The sequence below is a fragment of the Homo sapiens genome, chromosome 6, assembly GCF_000001405.40.
Source record: "Homo sapiens chromosome 6, GRCh38.p14 Primary Assembly".
Lineage (NCBI taxonomy): Eukaryota > Metazoa > Chordata > Mammalia > Primates > Hominidae > Homo > Homo sapiens.
The window spans coordinates 24,842,415-24,859,558 of record NC_000006.12 but is presented as its reverse complement, the minus strand read 5'-3'; the positions used below and the strand labels follow the sequence as shown (position 1 = coordinate 24,859,558).

At 44.0% G+C, this 17,144-nt stretch overlaps 1 protein-coding gene across 16 annotated transcripts in view, besides 1 other annotated feature; it reads left to right on the top strand.

Moving 5' to 3' along the window:
- The window catches only part of RIPOR2 (RHO family interacting cell polarization regulator 2), a 237,885-nt gene that overhangs the window by 182,610 nt on the left and 38,131 nt on the right, over positions 1 to 17,144 (top strand). For 14 of the 16 annotated variants that reach the window (XM_006715275.3, NM_001286445.3, NM_001346031.2 and 11 more), the window contains exons 9-13: positions 6,941 to 6,984; positions 8,837 to 8,962; positions 9,609 to 9,757; positions 11,405 to 11,534; positions 16,005 to 16,697. In XM_006715275.3, the coding sequence (XP_006715338.1) occupies positions 6,941 to 6,984; positions 8,837 to 8,962; positions 9,609 to 9,757; positions 11,405 to 11,534; positions 16,005 to 16,697 (1,142 nt within the window). Of the gene's footprint in view, positions 1 to 6,940; positions 6,985 to 8,836; positions 8,963 to 9,608; positions 9,758 to 11,404; positions 11,535 to 11,867; positions 12,018 to 16,004; positions 16,698 to 17,144 lie in introns of all 16 variants that reach the window. The other 2 variants (XM_011515012.2, NM_014722.5) reach the window with 1 other exon arrangement.
- Positions 3,264 to 3,558: an enhancer, noted in NCBI's record as "tiled region #11328; HepG2 Activating DNase matched - State 12:CtcfO, and K562 Activating DNase unmatched - State 4:PromP". NCBI's record gives its function as "activates a minimal TATA promoter and a strong SV40 promoter by Sharpr-MPRA in HepG2 and K562 cells {active_cell/tissue: HepG2 | K562}" and the evidence as "EXISTENCE:reporter gene assay evidence [ECO:0000049][PMID:27701403]".

Genomic DNA, 17,144 nt, shown 5'->3' with positions numbered 1-17,144 from the left:
TGCTTTTTTCCATTTTTTAGGTCCATTCTCTACATTTTTGGGTCCTCACTTGAGTCAGTGGTTCCAAAATCACGCAGGTCCATAGTCCCACGTGGGCCCTGGAATTTTTATTTTAACTTTGAGGATGATTCTATCAGCAGCCTGATCAATTCTGGAAAATAACTGCCCTGAATCAGTGTTTAGCAGAAAACCTTCCCTCTACTTCCCCCAACTCTCAGACGCCACCCACACAGACTAGCACAGTCGCAGAGTCTCGCAGCCTAACAGTAATTCAAATCATGCACATCACCTATCACTGCTAATATAAAAAAGTACTATATTTCTCCTATTTCTGATGCTCAGTATTATCAAGTGCATCTATTTTTGGTGGGATGGTAATTTCCTGATTTTACAGATGGGAAATAGGGGCCTAGAGAGGCTAAATGACTTGTCCCAGGAGTCACACTTAAATTGGAGTCAGACAAGAAACTGAATTCCAGGGTTCTTTGTTCCTAATGCATTCCCACCTCTAACTCCATGTTATGAGGGAAGTTCAGAGCTGAGCAGACAATATAAACCATTGCTCAAAGAATGGTCTCCCTCACGGGCAGATCCTCTCCAACCTAGCACAGAGACACCCTAGGAGTGGGATGGGGAGGAAAGGGACCACCCTCGGACCAGATCTGGAGCTTCAGGCTTGGTGTTCAGGGAGGAGATGATGCTGGAGTCCCTGCCACCTACTGGGGGACCTGGCCACCCCGCTACATCGCAGCCCTGATGGACTGATGAACTTGCTGTTGCTCCTGCTCCTCCATCTCCTCCTCTCTCTGTTGTTCTTGCTCTCCTGCCTGATGTTCCTGAGAGTCCACCTGAACGCTTGGTTTCTTCCATGGGGTTTCTCAGGCCTGAGACTAAATCTCCTTCCTCATTGATAGACTCCTGTCTCCTCCACTTTCCTCATCTAACAGGCAAACTCAGAAACTACATCTGTGAAGGCTTTCAATGGTAAACACCCCCATGGAAATCTTTCTCTTCCTCCATAAAGAGAAAGGGAAACCTCATGCTGCCAAGAAATCCTATTGTCTTTGCAATTAGCTGCTTTCTCATCTGTTACTCATTCTGGTAAAAACTACTTCCAACATACATATTGACAAACAGACTATTTCACAATACTCTCAGACCTGGCAACCACTAACTTCCTCGTGCCACACCCTTCCTCACTTCCCTTTTTGCCCCAACCCCAACACTAGAAAACAACCTTTTGGGGTAGTGACATTAAAGATAATAGAGCAAGTACTTACTGAGTGCCTGCTATTGGCCAGGCACTTGACTGCATTCTGATGACTGCTCCCTGGCCTTGAGTTCCACATGGTCTACCAGAGAAAACAGACATATGAGGCTGTGCATTCTCATTCAATGGAACAAATGACCACCTGAACAACAGTGTGACCCAGTTTGCTGCAAAAGCAGGAGGGGAGAGGAGGAAAAGGTTGCCACTCACCTCTCTAGTTGGGGAGAGGAGCAGGAAAGAGGAAGGCATCCCAGTGTAATGTATGGTGAACAGCACCAGAATAGCATTCACCAAACAGAGGAAAGCCTGTTCAGAGGTGACAAGTAGACCGGTGTGGCTGACGTGATTGTTCGGAGAAGAGCTATGGAGAATTAGTTGGGTCCTGACTATAAAAATCCATGAATGCCAGGCTAAACGGAGAGCACTTAATCTGCAAACTATCAAACAGGATGGAGGTAAAGGGATGTAGTTCCTTAGAGCAAACTAGTTCTCCAAATTATTACTTTGTTCAAATTAAGTTCCAGGCAGTGCATATATCCTGGTCCTTACAGTTTCCAGGGCAGGTCAACCTTCCTCAGAAGGAAGAACCACCATTGAGCTAGTAAACTTGCATTATTTATGCCTGGTCAATAGATCAGTAACACCTGTAATAGGAGCTCCTGACTGTATAGCTACTTGGTTGTCTTAAAGTAGGAAGTGTGACTCTTGGAAGGAAAGATCATCATAGAACTGGGAAAAATGATGTAGAGCGTTCTTCTGGCAGAATGGTGTCTGAGCAAAGGAAGGCAGGCAAGAGTAGGCAGCTGCTGTAACACCCTCCAAACGAGGCTGTGGAGGAGGTGTTAGATCAGTAATATGTGAGCGCCGTGAAACATCCAAAGGTATGACCCCTGCAAGCCCCCAGTGCGCATCCTCAGAGGTAACCCCCATGATGGTTTTTTGAGTGAAAGCTAGAAAGCTTTCATTAAGCTTTCTAGATCATGCACTGGTAATCACAAACTGTCAAGAACACTTGCAGCTTTCTCCAACTGTGAAAATGCCAGCAGGCCCCCAGACAAGAGCCTGTAAGAAACCTGGCCAGGCCTCAAAGACAGACTGTAACTGTCATTGCCCCACTGTTAGTGCTAATTCCGTGGCCAGTACCACCAGTGGCTTACACAGCAGATAGAACTTTAAGAAGCACGGCACAAAAGCTGTTTGTGCCTGGATAGTGCCATTGTGCTACATTATTGCTACAATCAGAGGATCAGTGATGCCACTACAGCAGTTCCAAGAAATTTTGCTTAGTAACATGGGCTGAGAAGTGAAAAAAACATCACTACCAAGTACCTTTCTCACATTGTTTTCTTCAGATATAAAATTTCTGGTAATTTTAAAGGGGGGGGAAAAACACCTTCAAAGGATTTCCCCTTTATTCACCTTTATCTAGTAACAATGTCAGATCAGTTTCTTTTCAACCAGTCTTCCATTGTAATTACATAAACAGGCAATAGATTAATCCTGAACTAATTTGCAGAGGTTTTGTTTTGTTTTTGAGACAGAGTTTCGCTGTGTCACCCAGGCTGCAGTGCAGTGGCACTATCTCTGTTCACTGCAACCTCCGCCTCCTGGGTTCAAGCGATTCTCATGCCTCAGCCTCCGGAGTAGCTGGGATTACAGATGCCCACCATCGCACCCGGCTAATTTTTGTATTTTTAGTAGAGACAGAGTTTCTCCATGTTAGCCAGGCTGGTCACGAACTCCTGACCTCAGGTGATCCGCCCACCTCGGCCTCCCAAAGTACTGGGATTACAGGTGTGAGCCACCGTGCCTGACCAATTTGCAGAGGTTTTTAAAGAGCACTTTGGATTTTATTAGAATTAGCATGTCCAGTTTAGGATTTACAAAAACAAGTCGATTATACTTTCTTTCAGAAGTATTTTTTTTAAAGACTAACTAAATGCTGCAGAAAATTATTAGTAGAATGCAGGCTTCTTTAATTCTGCTCTTATTTCAGTAAGTCTTTTTAAGTGGGTTGTTGTGTTCTAATTATTATTGAAAGCTGTTTTTAAATGTGCTGGCTCCACGGGCAGGAAGGCACGGACGAGCTGGTGAGTTTCTGCCACCTACTGACAAGTGATGGTAACAGCACATGCTTCTTTTTTAAGCATCCGGGGACCTTTTTTGCTGTCAGCTTACCCACGCAACGTTTATAAGTCAGGTGAAAGTAGAAGCGTTCATTTAAGACTCTCAACTTACTGGGTTTTTTGCTTTGTTTTGTTTTTTGAGTCGAGGGTCTCGCTCTGTCACACAGGCTGGAGTTCAGTGGCTCACGGCCGCCTGAAACTCCTAACCTCAAGCAATCCTCCTGCCTCAACCTCCTGAGTAACTGGGACCACGGGCGCACGCCACCATGACTGGCTAATTTTTAAATTTTTCGTAGAGATAGGGTCTCACTGTGTTGCCCAGGTTGGTCTCAAACTCCTGGGCTCAAGTGATCCTACTGCCTTGGCCTCCCAGAGCACAGGATCACAGGTGTGAGCCACCATGCCTGGCCAAGAGTCTCCAGCGTACTAACAGGGCTATTTGTAGAAGGCAAAACACATTGTGTGATACCATCCACAGCATCTTTATATGGGTAAAATCACGTTTAAATAAATATAAAAGCAACCCAGAGCACAAAGGTTATAAATAGCAACTCAAGGAGGCTGAAGTACCAAGGGACCCATTTGTCATATGGATGTCTTTGTGTGGGAACAGCCTAGGACTAACAGCTGTTTCTGGACCAGCTCATCAAAATTATTTCCTCGGAGTGCCTCTAAAAAATTACTGGGTAAACAGGGAGGAATTGTTCGTGTCTTCTTCAATCTCTATTTAAACACTTTGAAAGTAGTAACTTCTTTTTTTAAAACATTGAGAAATATAACAAAAAAAAAATAAAGTCATATATAATCATTCCACCCAGTGCTAAGTTTTGTTAAAATTATTAAAATATCCAACCAACTTTTCTGTGTATACACACTCCCTGCCAAGGTATGTGATCTTTTTTACATCTTTTTTCTGTATTACAAAATAAGTATATCATCTTTTTATAAATCAAATAAAAATTACCACTTATTGACAAAAATTTAATTTTCTCCTTAATTCTACCCTACCAGAGATAATTATTTTTAACAGTTTGGTATGGTTTTCTAGACTTTTTTCCCTGGGGATCCATTTATATATGGCTGAGGTTATACTCTATGTAAGGTTTTGTGTCCTTCCTTTTTTTTTTTTTTTTTTTTTTGAGACGGAGTTTCACTGTTGCCAGGCTAAAGTGCAGTGGCATGATCTCGGCTCACTGCAACCCCCGCCTCCCAGGTTCAAGCGATTCTCCTGCCTCAGCCTCCCGAGTAGCTGGGATTACAGGTACCCGACACCACACCCGGCTAATTTTGTATTTTTAGTAGAGATAGGGTTTCACCATGTTGGCCAGGATGGCCTGGAACTCCTGACCTCAGGTGATCTGCCCACCTCAGCCTCCTAAAGTGCTGGGATTACAGGTGTGAGCCACCACGTCCAGCCTGTACTGAATTCTTAACTGGAAATCTCATAAAACTTTATTTTTTTTCCTTCAAAAAATTTTTAAAGGATGAAGATTTTTACCTATTTTTATGAAATTATTTTGGTTCCTTCAATAAAACTTTTAGTCTTTAGGCCCCAAGGAATGTAAAGTGCTTTGCTTTGTGATTGGCAGGAAAACAACAGCTGACTAAAGCCAGAAACAACTGATTAAAGTAAAGCTGGGTCACTGACAAGCCTCTGTTGATGAGATTAGTTTCCTCATTTGCTATGCACATGTGACTAGCATGCCTTCGTCCCCACACGTTTATTCATGCTTGACACAGTAGACATCCAAGAAACATTGTCGAATGCACACATGCCATTCACTCAGCCTGGAAGTATCTGTACACCCATGTCTTCATTTTACTGTGGTGAAACTCTGTTATTCAAATGCTACTTTCCTCCATGAAACTATTCTACATTAAATAAGATAGTCTCTCTTTTTTCATTTTAATTATATAGTAATACATTCTCATAAAAATACAGAAAAAAGCAAAGATCTCCTTCTGTCTCTCCACTGCTGTTTGCCTCCCTGATGCATATCAATTTACTGTGTGTTTTCTTTCTTTTTTTTTTTTTTTTCTTTTTCAGACATAGTCTCACTCTGTTACCCAGGCTGGAGTGCAGTGGTGTAATCACGGTTCACTATAGCCTAGACCTCCTGGGCTCAAGCGATCCTCCCACCTCAGCCTCTGAGCAGCTGGGACTACAGGCATGCACCACCACACTTGGCTAATTTTTTTTTTTCTTTTTAGTAGAGATGAGGTCTCACTATGTTGCCCAGGCTTGTCTTGAACTCCTGAGCTCAAGTCATCCTCCTGCCTTGGCCTCCCAAAGTGCTAGGATTATAGGCGTGAGCCACCATGCCAGCCTTGTGTCTTTTCATATAGATTACGTCTTTCATTAAATAGTGGATGGCATGTACTCAATAAATAGTATTATCCCACTCTTGGATATATTGTCATTACCATGTATTAACGACCTACTATGTGTTAGATGCCGTCCATTGTCCTTACAAACAATTCTATGAAGTGGACACTGTTACCCTATTTTAAAGGTGAAGAAACTTGGGTTAAGTAAATTTTCTAGAGTAGGATAGCCAGTAGACAAACAAATTAACCTCAGGTGTAACTCCATCTTACTGCCTTCAAGTCCTTGTCTGTTTCATTTCTGTGGGCTTTAACTGTATTTTGTTCTATATCATGGGTATCCATAAAATCTTTAATTTCCAAATTATTACCCCGATGCCTAGCTTAGACCCTTACATATAGCCGGCTCTCAGTAAATATCTACAAAAAGAAAGAAAAAGACTGGACAAACCCAGAGTTCCTGAGATGGCCTCGGATGGTGGCCATCTAGTCTGATAAGATTTGTTTTTGCTGCTGCACCAGAGAGAGATCTCGAATCGAGCAGATCCAGTTAGACATGACTTGCTGGATGGCACAGTAGAAGAAAAGTCCCGTCTTTCTTTTGGGGGTGTATCATTTGGTTGGTTGGATTGATTTTGTTTTCTTAATCACTAGCTTTATGTAAGTAATAATCCATTTTCAGGGATTTTATAACAGCAAATTGTATCATTACACCAGATAAAAAGGATAAAGAAAACATCAGAATGAGTAAATTGGGGGGCAGCAAGGGAAATAACTGCATGGAATCTTAACTCAAATGGGAGGCACTTAAAAATCACACATTTTAGGACAGAAAGAAAAATAGGAGACCAGATTATCTTCATGGGAATATGTTGGATAAATAAATAAATCTATCTTTCTGGCCCTAATACCCTAACCCTAGAATCCACTTGGATCTTAAATCAGCCCAAGATATTCTGAGCTCTAGCTCCCCTCCTTGCCCAGCCTCCCCTGCCTTGGAGACCACCTCTTCCATCACTTCATCCAGGAATGTCTTCTTTACCTGTGATAGAAGGAACTCCCCCAAAAACAGCTGTTCCCCAGGAATGGCCCCAAAAAGTGTTATGTGAGTTTGCACAAAGTTCTGACACTTCACTTGAATTCTTTTTAACGTGCCAGTATGTGTCTATAGAGAGGGGAAATATGTTCTACACCTCACCTTCCAATTTCTTGGTTACAGGTCTGGCTGGCTTTGCACGCCTCTGTCCTGGAGATCAATATGAAGTAAGTATTGTCTTGGTCTAGGTGCTGGAATTATGGACCTGAAGGGTAGGGGCCAGTTGTCATGTCATTATTTTGCTTTTCAAGTTGTCTTTTTTTTTTTTAATTTTTAATTTTGAAAAACATTTTAAGCCAATGAGAAAGTCTGGAAACTGGTACAGGACTTCCCATAAACCTTTCATCTAGATTCACCACTTTGTAACATTATGCCACATTTGCTCTGTCATCATCATCATTATTGCTGTCATTGTTACTATTATTTTGCTGAACCATTTTATTTATTTATTTATTTACTTACTTATTTATTTTTTATTTTGAGATGGAGTCTCGCTCTGTTGCCCAGGCTGGAGTGCAGTGGCATGATCTCAGCTCACTGCAACCTCTGCCACCTGGATTCAAGCGATTCTCCTGCCTCGGCCTCTGGAGTAGCTGGGACTACAGGTGTGCACCACCACAGCCGGCTAATTTTTTTGTATTTTTAGTAGAGATGGGGTTTCACCATGTTGGCCAGGCTGGTCTTGAACTCCTGACCTCAAGTGATTCCCCCCCGCCCACCCTTCGGCCTCCCAAAGTGCTGGGATTACAGGTGTGAGCCACCACATCCAGCCCCTGAACCATTTTAGAGCAAGATGCAAACACCAGGACTCTTCATCCCTAAATTCTTCTAAGAATGGAAAGACATTCTGTCACATAGGCATTACTAAGCCCTCAACACCAGTGAGTTTATAACACTGGCTCTTCAGCTAACGTCACCTGGAATTAGTCTATGTTCATATTTTGCCAGGTGTCCCAATATTGTACTAGGTAAGCAGGTTTTTTTTTTTTTTTCCTGATCCAAGGGCCAATCCAGGATCATGGCTGATCATAAGTACCATGACTGAAGAAAAATAACATCCAGATCTTTCTTTGTAAAAATGTGCTCCAAAAAGTAAAAATAGCCTTTGTTATTTTCCCTCTTCAAAAGGAAACTTATATAACCATTTCATCTAACATCTCCTCCAAAACCCTCTATACTCATACCTCTTAGCAGGGGGTGAGGGTGTATCTTCCCTTAAACATTAAAGCAGTCTGACCAAGGAGATATTGCACACCTTCCCCCAAGAGTATGTTGGATTTCAAAGTCCTTGCCAGCTCCATCTCTCTATCCAGAGTAAGGATGTCTTTATTTCTTGCTTCTGACTGCTAAGGGGGTTTTAGCTGATACTTCCTCATCTCACTAAAGGAGCTGGGTTGTGTGGCTGCTCTATTGAAGTAGAACTAACAAGAGAGAGAACTGCTTGGCATGAGTGAGCAGAAGGGCACAGTGCAATGACCTTTTACTACAGAAAACCTGTACCCTCCCTGTCTCAGGCAGGCAGAACTTACTGTGCTTTAAAAGTCTCGGGCCAGGCACAGTGGCTTATGTCTGTAATCCTAGCACTTTGGGAGGCTGAGGCGGGCAGATGACCTGAGGTCAGGAGTTTGAGACCAGCCTAGCCAACATGGTGAAACCCCGTCTTACTAAAAATACAGAAATTAGCCGGGCATGGTGGCACATGCCTGTAGTCCCAGCTACTTGGGAGGCTGAGGCAGGGGAATCGCTTGAACCCTGGAGGCGGAGGTTGCAGCGAGCCAAGATCACACCATTGCACTCCAGCCTGAGTGACAGAGCGAGACTCCAACTCAAAAAAAAAAAAAAAGTCTCCTCCCCACTCATCCCCAGCTCCATTCACACCCAAGAGTAAGGGGGTGGAGGGAGAGTAAGGGAGAAGCGGAGGGCAGCAGTGGCTTTAGGTCTTTCTCCTTTTGATCTTGGTGTTCTGGTGGAGAAGAGGGGGTGGCAAGACATGAAGGCCCTTGGATGTCTCCTCTCCAGATTTTCATGAAGTATGGCCGGCAGCGGTGGAAACTGAAAGGCAAAATAGAAGTAAATGGCAAGCAGAGCTGGGATGGAGAAGAAACAGTTTTTCTGCCCCTGATAGTTGGGTTCATCTCCATCAAGGTACAGTATTGTCATTGCCTGTTGTCTTTCCTGGTGCCACGGCTGGATGATCCATTGGTGGGGCCCTTACCCGTGACCCCTGCCTGTTGCCCCTCCATCCCACAGACTTTTCTGCACAAGTCTATTACAAAGACAGCTGCCCTCTCATCAGAGTAAGTAAAGTCAATCTAAGATACACTTTTGAAATATCCACCTCTGGCCAGGCGTAGTGTAGTGGCTCACGCCTGTAATCCCAGCACTTTGGGAGGCTGAGGTGGGTGGATCACTTGAGCCCAGGAGGTCGAGACCAGCCTGGCCAACATGGCAAAACGCCGTCTCTACAAAAGTACAAAAATTAGCCAGACGTGGTCCGTGTGCCTGTAGTCCCAGCTACTTGGGAGTCTGAGGTGGGAGGATCACTTGAGCCCAGGAGGTCAAGGCTGCAATTAGCCATGATCACACTACTGCACTATAGCCTGGGTGACAGAGAGAGACCCTGTCTCCAAAAAAAAAAAAAAAAGAAAAAGAAAAATGAAAATCCGCTTCTGATTTCAGATATGATTCTGAAAGAAATGACCAACCTAGCTCAGTAAAAAAAATGACACATTATTCTACCTTTCTCCTCTGCTGTGATGTAAGGCCTATTCTCTCCCACTCTCTCTGCTAGGTCACGGAGCTCAAAGGGCTAGCAACTCACATCCTGGTAGGTAGCGTGACCTGTGAGACCAAAGAGCTGTTTGCAGCCCGACCTCAGGTAGTGGCTGTCGACATCAATGACCTTGGTACCATCAAACTGAACCTGGAAATCACCTGGTAGTAAGTGCCTCTTCCTTTATTTCATCATATAGAAATATCTGATACCGGCTAGTGCTACTCAAAGCTGGTGCATGGACCATCCGCATCACCAGGGAGCTTGTTATGAAAAGCAGAATCTCGGGCCCCACCCCAGGACTACTGTGTCAGAATTGCTCAGGCCCCAGAATCTGTTTAACAAACTCCCCGGGTAAGGTGCACGCGTGTTAAAGTTGGAGAAGCCTGGGTCATGTCACCAATCTCCTCTTCTACTTCCTATTTTAAAATATTTTTTCTGTCACCTTCCTTCCCTCTCTACCTTTAAATATATAAGGGCATATGTCCTCTCAAGTAAACTAATTTGAAAGAAAATATCTGTCCAATAGGCGGTACTTTGACCTCAGAAAAATCCTGATTCTCACGGATGCTTATTCCTCTTTATCGCATAACTTCACACTGCTCTGGAAAATTATGAGTATCCTTAGTTCCTCTGCACTGTATTTACTGAAATAGAATATCCCCAAAGGGCAAGAGATATCTTTTTTCAAAGCAATGAACTTAGAAATCGTTTTCCAAATTCACCCGGTGAGAAAGGTCATGATAAGTTATTAACACTAGCAGCTCCAGGTGCGGTGGCTCACACCTGTAATCCCAGCACTTTGGGAGGCCAAGGCAGGTGGATCAGCTGAGGTCAGGAGTTTGAGACCAGCCTGGCCAACATGGTGAAACCCCATCTTTACTAAAAATACAAAAATTAGCTGGGCATTGTGGCAGGCACCTGTAATGCCAGCTACTCGGGAGGCTAAGGCAAGAGAATCACTTGAATCCGGGAGGCAGAGGTTGCAGTGAGCTGAGATCGTGCCATTGCACTCCAGCCTGGGCAACAAGAGCAAAACTCCATCTCCAAAAAAACAAAAACCACTAGTAGTTCACAACATTTAATGTAATGCCCCCGGTATATTGCCAAGTAAATATGACATGTTGAGTATTCATGCTCAGGGTCTCATTTACAATATGGAAAGCCAGGTGTAGAAGCAGCAAAGACACTCTTGCTTTGTCATCATCAGCATGCTTTGCTCAGCCCTTCCCTCCCCACAATCTGCAGTCATTGATGTCTCACATGCAAGATCATTCTTCTTGCTGGATGAATCGGGTGCCATGATGTTAAGTGGCATCATTGTGAACAGACTGTTATTCTCTTCCCACACAAGAGGCTCTGTGTCAACTGAAATGAATGGGATTCTATTTTTGAGTGTTTTCTTTAGAATGGAACAATAGTCTGTCGATGTCTTATACCATTAAGGTATCTAGCCCCGCAAAGTTCAGATAATTTTTATAGACTTTTCAACATCTTGTTTTGTCGAAGCAAGCATTCATAAATTTGTGTTTCTAATGTTAATGAGGAACGGGTGTATCTAAGTGTATAGCTAAATTGTGCTTAGAGCTGTGATAATATTCTGGGGTCCCTTGGGTGAGTCTAGACTCAGTTTTCTGCTCCACTTTTCTTTTATCCAGGTTTATTTTCTGCAAAGCAGTTTAGCTAAAACCAGCCCAGTTCTGAACCTCTGGTTGAGTTTACCTTTATATAATGAGGTACTCTCTTAGCCTGTGGTCTGTTGATGATAGGTGATTTTGCCAAATGTGCATACCTGGGGACCTGTTGTTTTGCAGTCCATTTGACGTGGAGGACATGACCGCATCCTCAGGCGCTGGGAACAAGGCAGCAGCCCTTCAGAGGAGAATGTCCATGTACAGCCAGGGTACCCCGGAAACGCCCACCTTCAAAGACCACTCCTTCTTTGTAAGTTCAGTGTAATTTCCCGAGTAGAATCAATGCACCTGAGCCAGTGCTTGCACCCAGCATTTGAAATGCTTAAGAGACAGTGCTGGGAGTTAGTAATTCTATCAGAGGTGGTGAGCCTCCTCTGTTTTTCCTCTCTCCTTGCCCACCTTACCTATTGCTGTGATGGTAACATGTAGATTTTTCTGAACATTCTCTAAGATCAGCCTTTTAAAGAAGTGCATATAAATAATAGCCTCCTTGTTTTAATCAAAAATGCTTGCTAAAAAGCTAACAAAATGTAGTAACCTGATTCTTCCCACTAACTCCCCCATCTTGCTTTCACTTCTGAAGAGGTGGCTGCATCCTTCCCCAGACAAGCCCAGGCGGCTGTCTGTCTTGAGTGCCTTGCAAGACACTTTCTTTGCCAAGCTGCACCGCAGCCGCTCCTTCAGTGACCTGCCCTCCCTCAGGCCGAGTCCCAAGGCCGTGCTAGAGCTCTATGTGAGTGTGGCCTGCCCGGGTATGGAGTGCTTGACTTCTGGGGCTTGTGGCATGTGTGACTTAGCATGTCTCTTGTTTTATCTTCTCTGTCTTGCTCACTGGGTATGGTTACAGCTGTACTGTCCTTGGGGCGGGACACTTGGTCGTGCATGTAACTTTGATAGAGACGCAGTTTGTCCTTCTCTTCTAATGATCCCTGTTTTTGTGCTGTGATTTTTCTCCATTGTGGCAAAGATATCCATGGTAACAAGATTTTAAACAAGTTTAAGCCTTTCAAAAACTGGCATTCGGCCCAGCATGGTGGCTCACGCCTGTAATCCCAGCACTTTGGGAGGCTGAGGTGGGTGGATCGCTTGAGCTCAGGCATTCAAGACCAGCCTGGCCAACATGGTCAAACCCTGCCTCTACTAAAAAATACAAAAATTAGCCAGGAATGGAGGCATGTGCATGTAGTCCCAGCTACTTGGGAGGCTGAGGTGAGAGGATCACTTGAACCCAGGAGGCAGAGGTTGCAGTTAGCCAAGATGGTGCCATTGCACTCCAGCCTGGGCAGCAGCAAACTCCATCTCAAAAACAAACAAACAAAAAATTGGCATTCAAGGAACTCAAAAGGATTTCAATGAATTTTACTAGAGCTACTTCTATTTGAAAGGTTCTCAGTCTTAGTTTATTATAATGTTTGTTAATTCTATAACACTTCGATAAAAAGATATCCTTAATTCACAGTCAGGAATACAATAAGTATTATATATTATACATTATGTCACCAGAGGATACACACACACATGCATGCACACACACATACATGGAACATCCTGCTCTTCACAGATGTATAAAACGAAGCTTTGAGTGTCAACAGAGGAAAGGATTAAAAGTCTTTGGGTTCATAATAATAATAATTGCATCGTTTTCATTGAATTAAAAAATGCAGGTGAAGGCTGAACATGGTAGCTCACACCTATAATCCCAGCACCTTGTGAGGCCAAGGCAGGTGGATTGCTTGAGCCCAGGAGTTCAAGACCAGCCTGGGCAACAAAGTGAGACCCCGTCTCTACAAAAAATTTAAAAATTACCCTGTTGTGGTGGTACACACTTGTGGTCCCAACTACCCAGGAGACTGAAGCAGGAGATCACTGAAGCCCAGGAGGTTGAGGCTGCAGTGAGTTATGATTGCACCACTGCAGTCCAGTCTGGACAACAGAGCAAGACCTTGTCTCAAAAAAAAAAAAAAAAAAAAAAAGGCAGGTGAAAAGGACCAGGCTAAACTCTGGTGGAGTTTTCAGGGAAAATGGGAAGATTGTATGGGGGAAATACACATGAAAACATGAACCAAAACACAAAGAGCTAACACAGCTATACACGCAACCGTTAACATAACATGTATATTCATGCTCATATGTTCATGTGCTACAGGTTGGGGGTTGTGGGCGAGAGTTGGTAGAGGTTTCACGTCATAATTTAAATAAGAACAAGGTTAGAAAACAACTGGATGGCTTTCCTGATAAAACCTTTTAGATAAATGCAAAGGTCCTCAGAGCGGCTGTTCCCATCTGGCCACAGCCCACCACAAGCCCATCCCACGTTTTCACTCTCTATCCTCTGCTGGGGCCCCTTGGAGCTTCTCAGTGTCCTCCAAATGCACCACCTCCTTTCAGGAGCTCATGTCTTTGCATGTTGTTCCTTCTAGAACGCACTTCCTCCGGTGCCTGCCCCCTACTTCACCATCTTCCACACTGAGCTCCAGGATTGGCTCTTTCACAGGCAGCAGCCACTCCCTCATTGGGGCCCTTCCCTCATGATGTCATCCCTCAGTTATAGCGTGTACACCATTGTACTGTTGTGTGCTTGTTGTTAGACTTGTCCCCTTGGTAGACTGCAAGTCCCCTTGGGCAGGGCATCTCAATTTATTCTCACTCAATATTTGCCACTTAAGTAGGTGGAAATTGAGCTTGAGTCTTGGAGTCTCAAGACAAATGGCTGGGAAGGACTTTGGAATTTGAATAAGAATCCTGACTACCCAATCTCCCTGCCATACCCAGTGTCTCCCACCTCCCTCTGTGCTGCCATGAGATGTGTGCACAGATCAGACAAAGCTGAGTGGAACCACATGGAGGGCCCATGGGTTCTAGAAGCCTAAGGAACCCCCATGGATGAGGTCTAGGGAGAAGGCTCCAGGCATCCTTCATCCCTCCCCTAAAAGATTCCTTTTATCTTTCCTAGAGACATAAGGTGTATATGAGGTGGGGGGTGCAAATACGGGAGGGAAGAAACTGAAATACACAAGCTTGGAGGGGAGGAAGAGGAGCACCAGAGCCCACCACACCAACAACATTGTGGACCACAGTTCAATAATCACTAATAGAGTAAAACATCCTCAGTTTGGGAGGTAAAGAGACAGAGCTTGTAGAGGTTACTCAAGTGTCCAGTGACACATCATTTCACTCGTCCTGTGGTTAAAGTAAGTCACCTTCCAACCATGCTACAACGGACAGTTTGGGTGCAACGAACTGCATGTGTCGGGATCTAGTGGCCTCAGATACAGCAGCAATGGGACCAGGGACCCAGCTGGAGGAGGAAGGGGAGCCTTTGTCTTCCCTTCTGCTCTTCACTGCATTTGCTGTAATGTTTTTATTTGCCGGGCTTATTCCCAGCAAATTTTGAGAATTTGTCAGTTTCTATATAATTAAAACAATTATTAGCATGATACTTACCATTTATTTACTTTAAAAACTGAATCTGGGATCTAAGAAAAATTAACCATTTTGGGCCAGGCGCGGTGGCTCACGCCTGTAATCCCAGCACTTTGGGAGGCTGAGGCAGGCGGATCACCTGAGGTCAGGAGTTTGAGACCACCCTGACCAACATGGCGAAATCCTGTCTCACTACAAAGAAAATACAAAAATTAGCTGGGGGCGTGGTGGCGCATGCCTGTAATCCTAGCTACTTGGGAGGCTGAGGCAGGAGAATCACTTGAACTCAGGAGGCCGAGGTTGCAGTGAGCTGAGATCGCACCATTGCCCTCCAGCCTGGGCAACAAAAGGGAAACTCTGTCTCAAAAAAAAAAAAAAGAAAAATTAACCATTTTGAAGGGGTTAATCTCAGTAACTCAAAAGCCCTTTCCACAGAGCAGCATTTGGCATTTAGGCATTATACACAGACCACAGCACAAGAGAGCTGACTTCAAAATAGAAATGCCTGAATAAATGAATGATCTTGGTTACCTGGATATTTCTGGCCTCTCTCTTCAGAGTTCTGCTTCATGAAGCACAGGGCGTACCTGTGACACCACCCAGGTCTGCTTGACAGATGACTTGGTGTTTCTAGGCAGCCTGAGAGCCCTGGGGTTTGCCTCCTGCAAGATTGATGTTCCATTTATTAGTCTTTTCCTTTTATTTCTAGAGAAGCTATGCAAATGTATGGCTGGCCTTGAATTATTTATGGTGTGGTTACTAAATTAATAAAACATTTTCCAGAGCTTGGGATTTGTGGGCAGAGATTTTCAAAAAAATAATTTTTGAGAATTGAAGCAGAACAAAACATCACAACTTTGGAACTAAATTGCATGGATGTTGGAAAGTTTTTTAAGATAGATGCCTAAATAGAAAAAGAAATTGGTAATGTTATTCATAACTATGGCTGCCAAATATTATGAGCTCTTGGAATTCAGAAAACAAGCCCCCTCCCCCCATGCAACCTTTTCTTTTGAAAAATGTCAAACCTTGAAACTATTGCCATGAACTTTCACCTAGATTCAACAATAGAAACAGTCCTTGATGGTCTGTTTTCTTTTGCCAGATACACACACACACACACACACACACACACACACACACACACACACACGGCATCAACAAATAAAATGCTAACATTCTGAAAGTTCTGGGTTTTTTCATTGTAATTGCCTTATATTCTGTCTGGAAATAAACCATGCCAAGCCAAATGCATCATTTGTATTGAAAATAATAATGAGGTATCTTTTATCTATAGTCAAATCTACCTGATGACATCTTTGAAAATGGAAAGGCAGCCGAGGAGAAAATGCCACTGTCGCTCAGCTTCAGTGACCTGCCCAACGGGGACTGCGCCCTCACCTCCCACTCAACAGGCTCCCCTTCCAACTCAACAAATCCAGAAATTACCATCACCCCTGCGGAGTTTAACCTCAGCAGCTTGGCCTCCCAGAATGAGGGTATGGATGACACCAGCTCAGCATCTTCCAGGAACTCCCTGGGAGAAGGCCAAGAGCCAAAGTCACACCTGAAGGAGGAAGACCCAGAGGAGCCCAGAAAACCTGCCTCGGCCCCATCTGAGGCTTGCCGCCGACAGTCCTCAGGTGCTGGGGCTGAGCACCTGTTCCTTGAGAATGATGTTGCAGAAGCACTTCTGCAAGAGTCTGAGGAGGCCTCTGAGCTCAAGCCTGTGGAACTGGACACTTCGGAAGGAAACATCACAAAGCAGCTGGTCAAGAGGCTCACATCTGCAGAGGTGCCAATGGCCACAGACAGGCTGCTCTCTGAGGGTTCTGTTGGTGGAGAATCTGAAGGCTGCAGATCCTTTCTAGATGGAAGCTTAGAGGATGCTTTTAATGGGCTTTTACTTGCATTAGAACCACATAAAGAGCAGTATAAAGAGTTTCAGGATCTGAACCAAGAAGTCATGAATTTGGATGATATTCTAAAAGTAAGTACCTTTTCAGAGAAATTGGATTAGGTTTGGAGAGAGGTGTCCTAAGCCAACATTCTATTTAAGATGAGGTATCATTTAAAAAAAAAATCCTGTCCAATCACAGGATTAATAGCTCATCATCATTTTAAATGGCACTAATATGCCAGTAGTGCATATTAAGTTTTATTTTCCAAACAACAGATCAACTTATCTAAATTGATTAGGATTTAAACAAAGAGCTCTAGAGAATGTTGAAATTCCCCCAGTCCCCAAGTTAATCATTTTAATCCCATATGTGAAGTAGAGGCACTTTGATGATTACAGTCTCACAGGCGTTACTGGATAGGATCCCTCTCAGGGGGTCGGGAAAGCAGGGAGCCCTTTGCCTGGTTGGAGTCAGAGTTATCCGTCCCATTGTGAGAGCCATGAGCCACTGCCTGCTGGAGGAGACTACCTGCTCTC